Genomic DNA, 15312 nt, shown 5'->3' with positions numbered 1-15312 from the left:
ACTAATCACCTTCCCTTTTATTTGATGCTTTTTTTAGTTCTAATTCCTCATCTTAATTTTGAATCCAGAAAATATTAATATTTAATGGTAATTTTCTTAGCCCTTTCACATAAATTATGTTTTAATTTTAGCCACCTTAAAAGGGCATATGAAAGAAATGCTATCATATTTATCACCATCTTGCAGATAGAGAAACTTAGGAAATTGCCTTTTGCTAGAAGTCAGCAAAATAATAAAAAGTCGAGCTAGCTCCCTATTTTCTAGTGTTTCCATATTTGGCACTAGCTGCAATATTAAGCAAAAGCATTGACTTATAGAATGCAGTATATGGTGTTAGGTGGCACATGGGAAACATAATGTCTGAGATGTGTCAGACAAGTCTGAAGTCTGGCTGCTGCCCAGAGGCCCCACTTTTCTTTCCCATAAGAGCCACCATTTTGCTTGAAATGCTATTTTCTACCATGCCTACCTGGTTGGCTCCAACTCCTCCTGCAGGACATAGAGGAGATGCTCCCTTTCCTGGAATATCTTTCTTTTCTGACCCCTCTATCTCTAATGAAAAGTTCTTTCATCTGATGCTATAATGTGCTGGGTTATCTCATTCATTGATTGAGCAATTATAGAACACTGTACTCTTAGAAATTAGAAAGGAATCACATTGTAATCACCTTCTTTGTTCAAATACCAACTCCTCGCTGAAACCTAGGAAACTATTTCTGGGCTGGCAAAATCTACCTATAGACAAATAAGCATTTGTTGACACATAATTTTTTTTTATTTTTGTTTTTGTTTATTTCTGTGCCTATATCCACCAAAAGATTATCATCAATTTGGAGGTTTAAATTTGCACTTGTAAGTTTTACATTCTCAGAGATCAGAACATCTCCTGAATTTTATAAAAGAAATTAAGAGAGAAAAGGATAGCTAAAGAATGCATGCTTTAAGTGCTTGACCAAGTAGACATTTAATAATCTTTCAGGCTGTGTGACAAAGATAACTCTTCATATATCATCAGCTACACTAATCCTGTTCTCAGTACAACTCTGTAGACCCAGGCCTGATTATTAGGGAAAACAATATATTGTTTCTATGATATGTTGATTGTTAATAATTGTGGTCAACTAAACCATATTACACATATTAAAATCTATTCCCTAGTAGTCATCATTTTCTTCAGTTCTACTGGCTCCAGACAGTCTGGCATTGAATCAATTCTTTGTTCTGTGGAAGAAAAAAGAAGTATATTTAGAACAGGAATGATTAAAAATAAACTAATATCATTCCACCTGGAGTTTATTTGTAAGAAACCATCTGGCCATGCTTGGATCAATACTATCAGGAAGCTTGAAAAATTAAGCTAGTATGATAACTTTCCTTGGTGACTGGTTATTAAAAGAAAATAAGGTGGTACTTATTTTGAGGGGCTTCTTTTAATAAAAGCTTGTGCTTCCCTGAATCTTAAATATAAAATGTAGATTTCCATGGGAGGACTGGAGACCTTAGAAATGATTCAAGTCAGGTGTTAGATAATGTCACAACATTATGTGATATATTAGAGAATGCCACAGGATGTTGAAATGTAGTATACATAGTTTTTTAACTATAGAGAAACCATTTGTAAAAGCAGAAGGAAATCAAAATATGAGAATGTTTATTAATTGTGATGATTTATTCAGTAATAGTTATGGAGACTATATTTTGTGTCAAACACTATGCTGAGCATCAGAAAGATTTAGGAGAGATGAAATTATCTCCTCAAGAGATTACAGTGTAGTGTGGCAAGGGGAAAAATCAATAGGTAAAAAATTATTATAAAGTATGAGATAATAGTAGAGTTGAGGTGTGTATAAGGTGGACTGGGATGCAAAGGAAGGCCATACAACTTGCAGTAGTATAAGGAGTTCTTAGAAAACTCTATAGAGTAGGAAATGCTCGCCCTGAGCCTTAAAAAATAAAATAAATGGACATATCTTCAAAGTAGATAAAGGATTCCAGTAGGAGAAACCAGATGGGCTAAGACAAGATCAAAGCATAATAATTTGGCAGAATGAGTAGTAATTTGGTACAGCTAAAGAATAGGGTTTCTTAAAGCTGGTATCAGTTTTGCAAATGTGGAGTTAAATTTAATCTTAAGAGTATACCCCAATTAAGTAAGCTAAACATTTTTCAGCAATTAACTTCACATACATAAATATGAAGCAAAACCCACAGAGATTCTTAAGCATATGCAAATGAGAGAAACTTTATTTGGGGTACCTGGGAATGTTATATCATCCTTGTGGTGTTCATAGGTTAAGTGATTAGACAATTGAGAGCATTGACTTTGGAGGCAGAAAAAGCTATTGTCACATCCTCACTTTGCCACTTATTACCTGGGTGACTTTGGGAACATTACATAAACTGCTTAATGTTAGTTTACTTGGCACACAAGATAATGTAAATAATAAACTCTTCTTGCAGAGGTATGCCTGGAACCTAGTAGGTCTTCAGGGAATAACAGCTATTATCTTTGTCATGCTGCTAATTACAATATTTTCAATTTGGTCTAGAAGAAGTATTACTATAACAAATAAGACATTGCACTTAGATAATATACAACATATTTTCTTTTTTTTATTATACTTAAAGTTCTAGGGTACATATGCACAATGTGCAGGTTTGTTACATATGTATACATGTGCCATGTTGGTGTGCTGCACCTGCTGCACCCATTAACTCGTCATTTACATTAGGTATATCTCCTAATGCTATCCCTCCCCGCTCCCCCCAACCCATGACAGGCCCCAGTGTGTGATGTTCCCTTTCCTGTGTCCAAATGCTCTCATTGTTCAATTCCCACCTATGAGTGAGAACACGCGGTGTTTGAATTTTTGTCCTTGCGATAGTTTGCTGAGAATGATGGTTTCCAGCTTCATCCATGTCCCTGCAAAGGACATGAACTCATCCTTTTTTATGGCTGCATAGTATTCCATGGTGTATATGTGCCACATTTTCTTAATCCAGTCTATCATTGATGGACATTTGGGTTGGTTCCAAGTCTTTGCTATTGTGAATAGTGCTGCAATAAACATACGTGTGCATGTGTCTTTATAGCAGCATGATTTATAATCCTTTGGGTATATACCCAGTAATGGGATGGCTGGGTCAAATGGTATTTCTAGTTCTAGATCCCTGAGGAATCGCCACACTGACTTCCACAATGGTTGAACTAGTATACAATCCCACCCAACAACAGTTTAAAAGTTTTCCTATTTCTCCACATCTTCTCCAGGACCTGTTGTTTCCTGACTTTTTAATGATTGCCATTCTAACTGCTGTGAGATGGTATCTCATTGTGGTTTTGATTTGCATTTCTCTGATGGCCAGTGATGATGAGCATTTTTTCATGTGTCTGTTGGCTGCATAAATGTCTTCTTTTGAGAAGTGTCTGTTCATACCATTTGCCCACTTTTTTATGGGGTTGTTTTTTTCTTGTACATTTGTTTAAGTTCTTTGTAGATTCTGGATATTAGCCCTTTGTCAGATGAGTAGATTGCAAATATTTTCTCCCATTCTGTACGTTGCCTGTTCACTCTGATGGTAGTTTCTTTTGCTGTGCAGAAGCTCTTTAGCTTAATTAGATCCCATTTGTCAATTTTGGCTTTTGTTGCCATTGCTTTTGGTGTTTTAGACATGAAGTCCTTGCCCATGCCTATGTCCTGAATGGTATTGCCTAGGTTTTCTTCTAGGGTTCTTATGGTTTTAAGTCTAACATTTAAGTCTTTAATCCATCTTGAATTTTTGTATAGGGTGTAAGGAAGGGATCCAGTTTCAGCTTTCTACATATGGCTGGCCAGTTTTCCCAGCACCATTTATTAAATAGGGAATCCTTTCCCCATTTCTTGTTTTTGTCAGGTTTGTCAAAGATCTGATGGTTGTAGATGTGTGGTATTATTTCTGAGGCTTCTGTTCTGTTCCATTGGTCTATATCTCTGTTTCGGTACCAGTACCATGCTGTTTTGGTTACTGTAGCCTTGTAGTATAGTTTGAAGTCAGGTAGTGTGATGCCTCCAGCTTTGTTCTTCTGGCTTAGGATTGACTTCGAAATGCGTGCTCTTTTTTGGTTCCATATGAACTTTAAAGTAGTTTTTTCCAATTCTGTGAAGAAAGTCATTGGTAGCTTGTTGGGGATGGCATTGAATCTGCAAATTTCCTTGGGCGGTATGGCCATTTTCACAATATTGATTCTTCCTATCCATGAGCATGGAATGTTCTTCCATTTGTTTGTGTCCTCTTTTATTTTATTGAGCAGTGGTTTGTAGTTCTCCTTGAAGACCTCCTTCACATCCGTTCTAAGTTGGATTCCTAGGTATTTTATTCTCTTTGAAGCAATTGTGAATGGGAGTTCACTCCTGATTTTGCTCTCTGTCTGTTACTGGTGTATAAGAATGCTTGTTGGTTTTTGCACATTGATTTTGTATCCTGAGACTGCTGAAGTTGCTTATCAGCTTAAGGAGATTTTGAGATGAGATGATGGGGTTTTCTAAATATACAATCATGTCATCTGCAAACAGGGACAAGACAGGGATGCCCTCTCTCACCACTCCTATTCAACATAGTGTTCGAAGTTCTGGCCAGGGCAATCAGGCAGGAGAAAGAAATAAAGGGTATTCAATTAGGAAAAGAGGAACACAACATATTTTCTAATCAGTCAAACTTACGGGCAGGGCGTCTTCATCCCATGTGGGGCTATCCTTTTTACTAAAAATGTCTCAAGCCAGTCAGAAACTACAAGAGCAGAATTGTTATAACGTGAGTATAACTTTTGAGTCCTTTTCCACTACTGACTTCGTATTTCATGTCCCGTTCAAGCTTTGCTGTTTTCTTCGTAGAAATAGGCAACATAAACACAGATATGGCCACAAAGTGAAGTGGTGATACAATTTTTTTCAGTGTAATGATCAATTGTTAAATATATAAAATTTAATAAACAGCTTTCCAAGCTTTTGAACAATGATTACTAATTGATTAGTTAAATTATCTTATGTGATTTAGACCACAATTTCAAACCAGTATATCTTATTCCTCTAACTACTTTTAAGATAGAATATATATAAATACCATAATTTCAAAACTATTCCTAGAGTTATAATAAAGCCTGAGACATCAACACTGATTTTAATTCATATTTCTCTTTTAGATCTTATGTTTTTCAAATGTTATACTTATTTTGAGAGCTTATTAGGGTTTTTTTATTTTGATGCTTTCCTAGGGTTTCTGTAATCCCATTAATTAAAAGTCTCATAATATAATACGTAAAACTTTGCTGTAGGAAAATAAAGGACTCCATTTAATGTTCCTACAAACAGGTCTAATATCTCAACCAATAAATAAATCAAGTGATGTTGTTCTTATTGTTATTGCTCTGTTATATATTGAAGGGTTAACCTGTCACAGGCACTATGCTAATGGCTGTAAAAAATGTGTCCTTATTAATTTTCAGGACATCCTTGTGAGTTAGCTACTGTAATAATCTGCATTTTAGAGGTAGGAAAATTGAGGCTTAAAGTGGTTAAGTTTGATCTCACCCAAGGTCAAACATTTACTAAGTGGTAGATCTAGAACCTGAATCCAGCCTATATTCTAACTCTCATAAAACTAACGACTTTGTTCAGGATAAAATTATATTATTGTAAATATAGAATATTTTATACAATTCTAAAAAGGGCAGGAAATAAATGTCTCTATTTGCAATGTCTTTTTCGTGGCCTTGTTCTAATGTGTAGAAGTCTTGAAGGAGCAGACTGCAAACACGGTACATCCCCTAGCCTTTATACATCATATTATTCTTCCCTCTGATCATATATTAAGAAATATTTATTGAACGGCTACTTTGAATTAGGAACCGGGGTTTCTGTGATGCTCAAAGCATGTTTGCTACCTTTTCAGCTCTATAGAATGTACAATAATAAGAAAAATAGGGTTAAGCAATGCTTATAATACATTATGACAAGTGGTACATAACAATATTGGAAGGCATGAATAACTCTGCCTAGGTTGGAATTAACAAATTTCTTTTTTGATAAACTGTATTATAATAGGATAGTGCTATAGTGACAAATATAATTGATTTTTTTTTAGCTGGGCCATGAAAGAGTGCTTGTAAGGTTAACTAATAGCCACGTACATTTCTGACAGAATTACTCTATAAGGCATATTTATGGATTCATTTTAACTATAAATCAAAAAGCAAATGCCTGGGCTGCCTCCAATTTTGAGCAAGTGCCAACAACTCTAGAGTCTCCCTTACAGTTCCTTCTAAGTCTCCCTCCTATTTATTTCTTTCTCAAAATTCAGTGTTTTATCCTGTTTGGGAGTCAGCCAGACTTGCAAGATTATAGGTCACTTACCTTAGAAGAGGTTCAAGAGGGACTGTTACATGCGCTATATTCAAGGACAAGCCAGGATTCCTGTTGCCCAGCAGGTATTGGTCTGACTCTCTTAGGTGGAGAATAACCTGAAATCTTGCATACCTTCCTGAAAAATGTGACACTTGATGGAAGTGTCCAGTCACTATGATAGGATGGGATACTTTAGTACATATGATAGCAAAATTTATTAAAATAATCCTTTATATTTTGTTTATATTGCTATTGAAATAAGGCTATAAAAATTACTAAAAATAATGGTCAGTTTTGACTCCCTTCCCTTCCTGACTGCAACCAGTGATGTTTTGAAAAAAGCAATATTATTTTTGTTTTTTTGTTTTTTTTTTGAGACAAGATCTTGGTCTGTTGCCCAGGCTGGAGTACAGTGATGAGATCAAAACTCACTGCAGCCGCAACCTCCAGGGCTCAAGCAATTATTCTACCTCAGCCTCCCAAGTAGCTGGGACTTCAGATGAACAGCACCATGCCCAGCTAATTTTTGTATTTTTTGTAGAGATGGGGTTTTGCCATGTTGCCCAAGCTGGTCTTGAACTCCTGGACTCAAGAGAAATGCAATACTTTAAAGAGCTGACATTGACTTTGTTCCAGAGTAAAAACATATTTATGTGGAAAAGAGCAGAATTGTTTTAGTGGAGGAATAACACGTGGGATAGAATCAAGGAAATGAACATTGGTTATAGGACTTGGAAAATGAGGAAGAAGTGGCCCATATTGGCAGTGTGTTTTAGAATGAAGCCTGTTAATTCTTAGAACAGTGAGCTGCTTAGCAGAAAATGAATCAGTGGTATACCTACAGATGCTGAATCTTGTTCACTGGGACTTCTGTCCTAATAAAAGTCTCCAACATGCAGATTCAGATTTTCAAGGATACAGTTACTTTTCAGGGCATAATGCAGCTTAAAAAATGAATATGTAAAGGTCACCAGGACAGACCCAGGCCAGAGGAGATGTCCTAGATATTTGCACTAAATAAAACCTTCTAGACTTCTTTATGTTTCTGGAAAAGAGGCAGTCCATCTCTGGCTAATATATAATTTCTCTAGCACAGTAGAGGAGAGCTGCAGATGAAGTATGAGCTTTTAAGAAATGAATTCAATCTTCCTTATATATTCTCTGAGGGCTCCAATTAATATTTACCACGGAAGTAAAGCCTAAAGGCCATTTAGGCTATGATCCCTTGGGAAAGCTAGAATGGAGACCAAAAGAGAAATTCACAAGCTTTAGGGAAAGGATTAAAAAAATGATTAATCCGTGGCATCAGTAGCCCTATTGATTAACTATGTTGACTGAATTCATTTGACTAAGCAGGCACATTTCTGCTTCCTCCCTTTCTGCTTTATATGCATCTTTTCTGTAGAAGCTCACACTTTCAGATAAAGAAATAAATTTTACTTTATATAGGGAGATCAAGTATTTTTAGAATCTAAGACAATTCTGACTCTAAATCCTTCTATTACCCACACAACAGACTCTGAGATATAATTTTCTCTGCGCATGAGAATCACCATATGCAAGCACAAAATCTTAGTTAACTTCACTGCTTGTACTGAGGATAGCGATAGCAAGATTAAAATGAACATCAGATAACTTCTAAATCATTTATGTTTAAGCACCAGAATACATTTTATAATTTCCTTACTAAATCCTCACTCTTACCTTATTTTGTGGGAGATAAATTTAAAATGGAATGTCCATTTATATTTGCAATCTCAGAATCCATCTGTGGTAGGCAGTCTTTAAAATGGCTTTCAATGATTTCTGCCTCCTAGTGTCCACAGCCTGTGTAACCCTCTCCCCTTGAGTGTAAGCTGGACTTAGTGCCTCATTTTTAACAAACACAGCATGGCAAAAATGTTATCATGCCATTTATTATATCCTTTTCTCTATTCTATCTTCATATTCTATCTTCTCTATCTCTCACTCCTGTGATTCTATGGAACCAAACCACCATGTTGTCACTAGCCATATAAAAAGTCCACATAGCAAAGTACTGGAGTCTCTGCTCAACATCCAGTGAAGGCCTGAAGACTACCAGTAGCTACTTGAGTGAGCTTGGAAGTGAATACTTCCCCCATCTGAGCCATGAGGTGACTGTAGCCATTTATGACAGCACACAGCCTTGTGAAATTTCCTGAGTCAGAGACACCAGCCAAGCCATGCCCAGATTCCTGACTCAGAGAAAATGTGAGATAATAAATATTAGTTATTTCAAGCTACTGTGTTTTAGGATAATTGTTATGCATTATTAGTTAACTAATATACCGCTGAATGGTGAGAGAAGGGCAAGAATGAGTATAGGCTAATGGATGCAGAGTGGAGAAACCACTGGTGAGAGGCAAGCTTGACATAGTCATCTGATCTAGGCTGAATAATCCTACCTGAATACTTACTTCTCTATATAATCAGAGAAAAGACAAGGTACAACTATTGCATCTACAGAAGACACATTCCAAGGAATACAGCTTTCTCAAAGCACATCACATGAGCCCTGGGCTCAGCTAACAAGAAATCCCCATGAACATAAACAGATGTTTTCATGTGCAGCTTCTGTCAGCTAATCTTGTAAATGGTGCCACATTTGCTTTCTACAATGAACTTGTAATAGTATTTCCTTAATATATAAGCAATTATGTTCCTGAAACTCATATTTGTTGAACATTACAATTGTACATTGATTTACCAGTTCTGAAAATCAGTTCTTGACTGCTCTTTGTAAATTTGAGTGAGATTCCAGAATAGACAATTCCTTTATTTGAGAATGAAGTATGTTTATATGGTATCCTCTTATCATGAAACCCTCACTATGGCCTTGAGTTTAATGTTGTGTGTGCGTGTGTGTGTAATATAAACAGGAATCAAAGAGTTCTGGTAGTGCTACAAAAGAGAGATACATTGAACAAAATTCTGTTCTCAGAAAAGACAAGTGAATGTTAGGAATAAGTGACATGTTGATTTCTTGAGGCAAGATATGGGGTTACCATGGTGATAATTGCATAACATCTATATTTCTATAAAACCATCTGGGAGGGAGTAGAACATTCTTTTTTAAAAAGACATTATATCCTTGGCATATTATTTGTAGTTGGTTAAAAATAGCCCAGGCATGTGGGCGTTTGCTATTCTTGTCATAAGCTTAGGCTTAGAAGAAATGCATACCAAACATCTCTCTCCCACCTCACACTCAGTAATTGACACATTACTTTCTACTCTTCTGTCCAGTAATTCTATAGTTTCCTCTCCAGTCTGCAAGGAAAACTTAAGACTACAATTTGGAGTCAATTTCGTACTACTTTTAGTGAGAATCTCTCTACCTTAAGACTAATGCCTTCAGTTACACAACAGGTAAATACCTTATACTGTCCTTCTCCAGGTTAGATTTTTCCCTAACTGGATGACACAGTCTTGCCTGAAGATGGTCAGTCCCCACAACACTTAGACAGATAGCTTTTCATAACTACACTTAAAGTATTGAAAAGAAGTATAAAGAGGTTTTGAGTGGCTGTGGCATCAGTGATGGGGGAGCCACAGCTGTTTTAGAAGAAAGTTTTCTTGTTAGCAAGTGAGTTTTCTAAGGATAGAGGTTGTATCACATTCTTCTCTAAATGAAGTACCTAGCAAAATGAGGCAAACAAAATGTGTTGCGAACATTTTGGCTGAATATGGTTCATCAAAATATTGGTTACCAGTTGATATTCAAAGTGTCACCTTTTTCACAAGTTGAATTGTTCATTCTGAAAGTATTAACCCTCTCAAGCTGTACTGAGTCATGTGATAAACTGTTTCTTCTCAATAATCTTACTAATTAGGATAAGAACAATTTATCTAAAGCAAGAAGTGCAGCTTAAATATATATAACTATTGATCTCATTTGTTTAGGATTTTCTGCCCTAATCACGTTCACCTGCTATTTATAGTGTGTTGTCTTAATAGGCAGGCAAGCTTTTAGCTTGATACAAATGAATATATGTGACATTCTTTTGGATGACATATTATGAAGCTGAATTTTGTATATATTTTGATCTTATTATTTTCACTTTTTATTAAACTCTTAGAGTTATTAACAGGTGAATTAGTAATAGGTGATTTATGAATCAAATTTTTTTATTTGTCTCTTACCTGCCTAAAATTGTTTTCAAAAAGGACTTAGTCTCTTCAGATCCAACTTTCATTTTAGATAAAGTAAGAAGCTGCTGACAAGGATGTGATATAGGAAATATCAGGAAAGCCCCTTGACCCAGTTATCTCCTATTTCTTCCAGCTTGTATCTTTAAATTCCAGTTTTCTCTGGCTTAAAAGCTTGAAGACCCTGTTTAAAGGGCAAGTACTACCTGGACTAGATAGAGCATTTATTTAAAGTCTATTATTTTAAACTACCACACAATTACACTGTTGGTGAGGCATCCTATCAGAGAGCAGGGCACAAAGATGATAGTTTAAGCAACAGACAACTTTGGAGTAGAACATTAACGTTTTTCTGGAAATGGGGACCATCTCTGAATACTCCATGAAATTTGAGGACTGTGGGATGGGGTACCTAAAAGGAAGTGAAGAGATACTGACTATAATTATTAATGGTGTCGCAGTTTTACTTAGGCCCTTATGAGGTGCTGTGCGGAATCATTACATTTTTTGTTCCTGTCAGTAAATCATTCATATGTATAAGAGACAATGAAATAGGGAAATTGATAAACCACAGCAATGAAACATATGCATTCTAAAAATCTGAACTAGAAGTGTTAGTAGACATAATTTTGTCTTATCCTATTTTTCATCTTATATTACTCTCTTTTAAACTTTCAGGTTTAGATTGCTATCATTTATCCAATAATCACTTATTGAATCAAAAAGAAATGTGCTGAGAAGTCACTGTGCTTACTGTCTAACATAGCAACTGCTAACACAGCAAGCTAATACAGAAAGTTTCAGATATTATGAAAACCCAAAATAGAACCTGTCAATTACTGCTGATAGATTGAGTACCTACTCTGCTCTAAGTATTCCTACTAAGATCAGGTCATGAATATGTTGTGATTACAGTGTGTTTGATTAAGTTAACATTTGTCAACCCCAGGAGTCCTGCACTAACAGAATCAGATATTTTATTCCTTTCCCCTTTAGTTAAAAACAAAAAGGGCTATCAGAAGTTTCTAGTATTCCATCACCAAGCAGAAAACCTGGTAAATGCCTACATTCAACAACACCAACACAGCACCAAACAAAAAATAAAGCAATTACTTTTAGAGGAAGAAGCTCTGGTTTCATAGGAACCTCAGCCTGCTCCTGGCCTCTCTTAGATTGTACTGAGTTATTTGGGTCTGACTCAAATCAGTAATAAATTTGGGAAAAAACAGCAGTTTTGGCTTAGCTTCCTCCACTTCCCTCTTTCAAGTGAACTGTGCAGAAGTTGCATTTCCCTTTGCTGCTTCTTGTTGAGTGTCTTATAGAGCAGGGGTCCCCAACCCCCAGACCATGGACCAGTACCAATCCATGGCCTTTTAGGACCTGGGCTGCACAGTAGGAGGTGAGCAGCTGGAGAAAGAGCATTACCCCCTGACCTCTGCCTCCTGTCAGATCAGCGGCATCAGACCCTCATAGGAGCGCAAATCCTGTTGTGAATTGCACATGTGAAGGATCTAGGTTGTGTGCTCCTTATGAGAATCTAATGATAAATGTAATGTGCTTGAATCATCCCCTAACCATCCCTCTGCCCCGCCCTCATCCATGGAAACAGTGTCTTCCATAAAACCTGTCCTTGCTGCCAAAAAGACTGGGGCCACTGTATAGAGAGATGCTTACCCAAGTTTGACAGTGCCGTAACTTGGAAAACAGCTTGTCTTCTTTCTGGACTTCATTACTAGTGGGCCTACTTGCACAAGACATAAACCACATCCTCTAACCTGAGTGCTACCATTAAGAAAAATGTTCTTTATGCTTCAATATTTACTTTAAAAAAATATTTTCAGAATTCAGAGATGGAAGGCAATACCATACACTCTGAGATCCTTAACAGGCACAACCGCAACCACATTTAAGGATAAATAGTAAGAGCTAATATTTGTTACATGCCTAATGAACATCAGACACTGTTTTATGTGCTTTACAAATATCTACTCCTTTAATCCTCATATAAAATTTTAGCATATGGATGTATGAAATGGTTACTATATATAGGAAACAGCTATTCTCTTAAATATCTTGAGATTATTGCCTCCCTGCAAAAAGTGCAACAGATGGCTTTACATGCCCACCAATAATGTGTAAGAACATTCATGGCTTTACCTTTTTCCAAAAGGCATTTTGTAAGACTTCAATTTTTGAGATTATGTTAACAATAAAATTTATTTTGATCAGTTTTAATTTGCAAATCCATTATTATTAAAGTTAAGTAACTCTTTGTTTATCCCATTATAATTTCTTGTTGTGTCAAATGCATGTTGCCTATTTTTATTTTGTGCTGTTTTTTTCTTACCTATTCTTAGTATATTTGATATATTATGCATAGTAGTCCTTTGTTCCTTCCTATGTTAAAAATATCACATCCCACTCTTTGACTTGTGTTTTTACTGCCTATAGAGTTTTATAATAAAGGTAATTTAAATATTATCAATCTTTCCTTCCTTTCTTTGTTAAGCATCTTTATTGAGATACAATTTAATATCATAGAGTTCCTCCACATCTTCACTAGCATTTCATGTTGTTGGTATTTTTCATTTAAGTCATTAGGATAGGTATTTAGTAACATCTTATTATGGTTTTATTTAGCACTTTCTTGATGACTAATGATGCTGAATATCTTTTCAGGGGATTATTTGTCATCTATGTATTCTCTTCTGTAAAGTATCTATTCATATCTTCTATCCATTTAATACATGGATTTTTTTTCTTTTACAATTGATTTTGTGTGCTGATTATGTATTTTGGATTCTAGTCCCTTATCACATAGATGTTTTGCAAGTAGTTAAATAGTTTGCTCCAGTTCTGTTTTTTTTTTTTAAGTAGGGTTTTGCACAAAGTAAATGTTTTTAATTTTGATGAAATCCAATTTACCAAATTTTCTCTTCTGCATTGTGCTTTTTGTGCCAAGGCTAAGACCTCTTTGCCATTCCAAGGATGTCTATCACTTTTCAAAAGGCTTTTTGGTTTTTACTTTATGCTAAAATCCATGATCCATTTTAGGTTAATTTTTATATAAGGTGTGAATTTAGAAAGCCTTTTTTTTTGGCATATGGATATAAAATTGCACCAGCACCATTTGTTTAAAAGATATGTTCCTTCATTGAATTGTTTTTGCATCTTTTTCAAAAATTAATTAGGCAATTTTTATGAGTCTTTTATGAGAGGTTCTGTATTTTACTCCACTGATCTGGAGATCATGTCAATTTATTCATTAATACCACAAAGATTTGATTACCATTGGTACAGGATACATCTTAAAATCAGGTAGACTTATTCTTCCCATTTCATTCTTCTTCAAAATGGGTTTAGATATTCTATATCATTTGCCTTTTTATATAAAGTTTATGATAATGTTGTCTATAGGTAAACAAAATACCTTACAGAAATTTTTATATGAACTGCATTACATTGGAATACGTATTTGGGGGGAATTTGTTTTCACTCTGCTGAATCATTAAATCTATCAGCATTGCATCTATCCTTATTTATATATTATTTATATATATTATATATTATATATACATGTGTATATATATATACACACACATATATACACACACATATATATAGTGTGTGTATGATTGCTGTTGTCAGTAGATTATAGATACATATTTATTATAATGTAAGTTTTTGTTTCTACTGGTACTGTCATATTACTAGCTAAAATGAGACATATATGTATATATACATACACATCTATTTGAATTTATTATTTATATTTATCTTATTTCTTGCACCTTTGTTGAATTTCCATTTTGGTTCTTGATTTTGTTGTAGATTCCTTGGAATTTCCTATGTAAGTAACCATGTCAACTATAAATAAGAACAGATATCCTTCTTCCCTCCTTCCCTCCCTCACTTCCTCCCTCCTTCCTACCCATCCATTCATTAAATAAATAAATTAAATTCATTTTATTATTTCTTTTGAGATTTCCTAAGTTATGCATTATTTAAATATATACATATTTGATTTGCAAGTATTTGAAGGTTTTTCTGTTAACTTTTTATTAGTGATTTCTATTTTGCTTCTATTGTAGTCAAAGAACATAGTCTGTGTTCTCTTAATTCATTTAATTTTTTTAGGCTCAATTAATAAATCAGCATATAATCCATCCTAGTTAATATTTTGTAGGCCCTTGAATAGTATGTATATTCTGCTGTTGTGGGTTTGAATAGTCTATGAATCATTAGAAGTTCATGTAGGTGACTTTTTTTTACTTTTCTATTATATCTCTGTTAATACATGTGGCTGCTCTAACAATAGTTAAAAGAAGGACATAGACATCTCCAACCATAATTTTGGATTTGTCTTTTTATTATTTAAAGTCTATCATTTTTTGATTCACATGTTTTCAGCTCTGTTGTTTGGTACATACACAGGCATCTCTTCTTTGTGAATTGACTCATCTGTAATTATATAATGTCCTCATTCACCGGTAATTTTCTTTGCCATTCACTTTGGTTTATATTAATACAGGTACTTATTCCTTCTTATGGTTGATATCTGTATGCTTTATATTTTTCCATACTTTTATTTTTACTTTGCCTATAGCATTATATTTGGAGTATGTTTCTTATAGACGGCATATAGTTGGATCATGTTTTATTCACTCTTTCAATCTGTCTTTTCATTGATGTATTTAAATCATTTACATTTAATATACCTATTGATATGTTAGGGGTTAAGTTGGCCATTTTTTTTCTGTTT

At 34.9% G+C, this 15312-nt stretch overlaps 1 long non-coding RNA gene across 1 annotated transcript in view; it reads right to left on the bottom strand.

Moving 5' to 3' along the window:
• Positions 1–756: 756 nt before the first annotated feature.
• Positions 757–15312, bottom strand: part of LINC02748 (long intergenic non-protein coding RNA 2748) — a 70456-nt gene continuing 55900 nt past the window's right edge. The window contains exon 5 of the long non-coding RNA NR_183632.1: positions 757–1221. This is a non-coding gene — a long non-coding RNA (long intergenic non-protein coding RNA 2748). The remainder of the gene's footprint in view (positions 1222–15312) is intronic.

This window comes from Homo sapiens, chromosome 11 (assembly GCF_000001405.40).
Source record: "Homo sapiens chromosome 11, GRCh38.p14 Primary Assembly".
NCBI classification, from domain to species: domain Eukaryota; kingdom Metazoa; phylum Chordata; class Mammalia; order Primates; family Hominidae; genus Homo; species Homo sapiens.
This window is presented reverse-complemented; position numbering and strand designations above follow the sequence as displayed.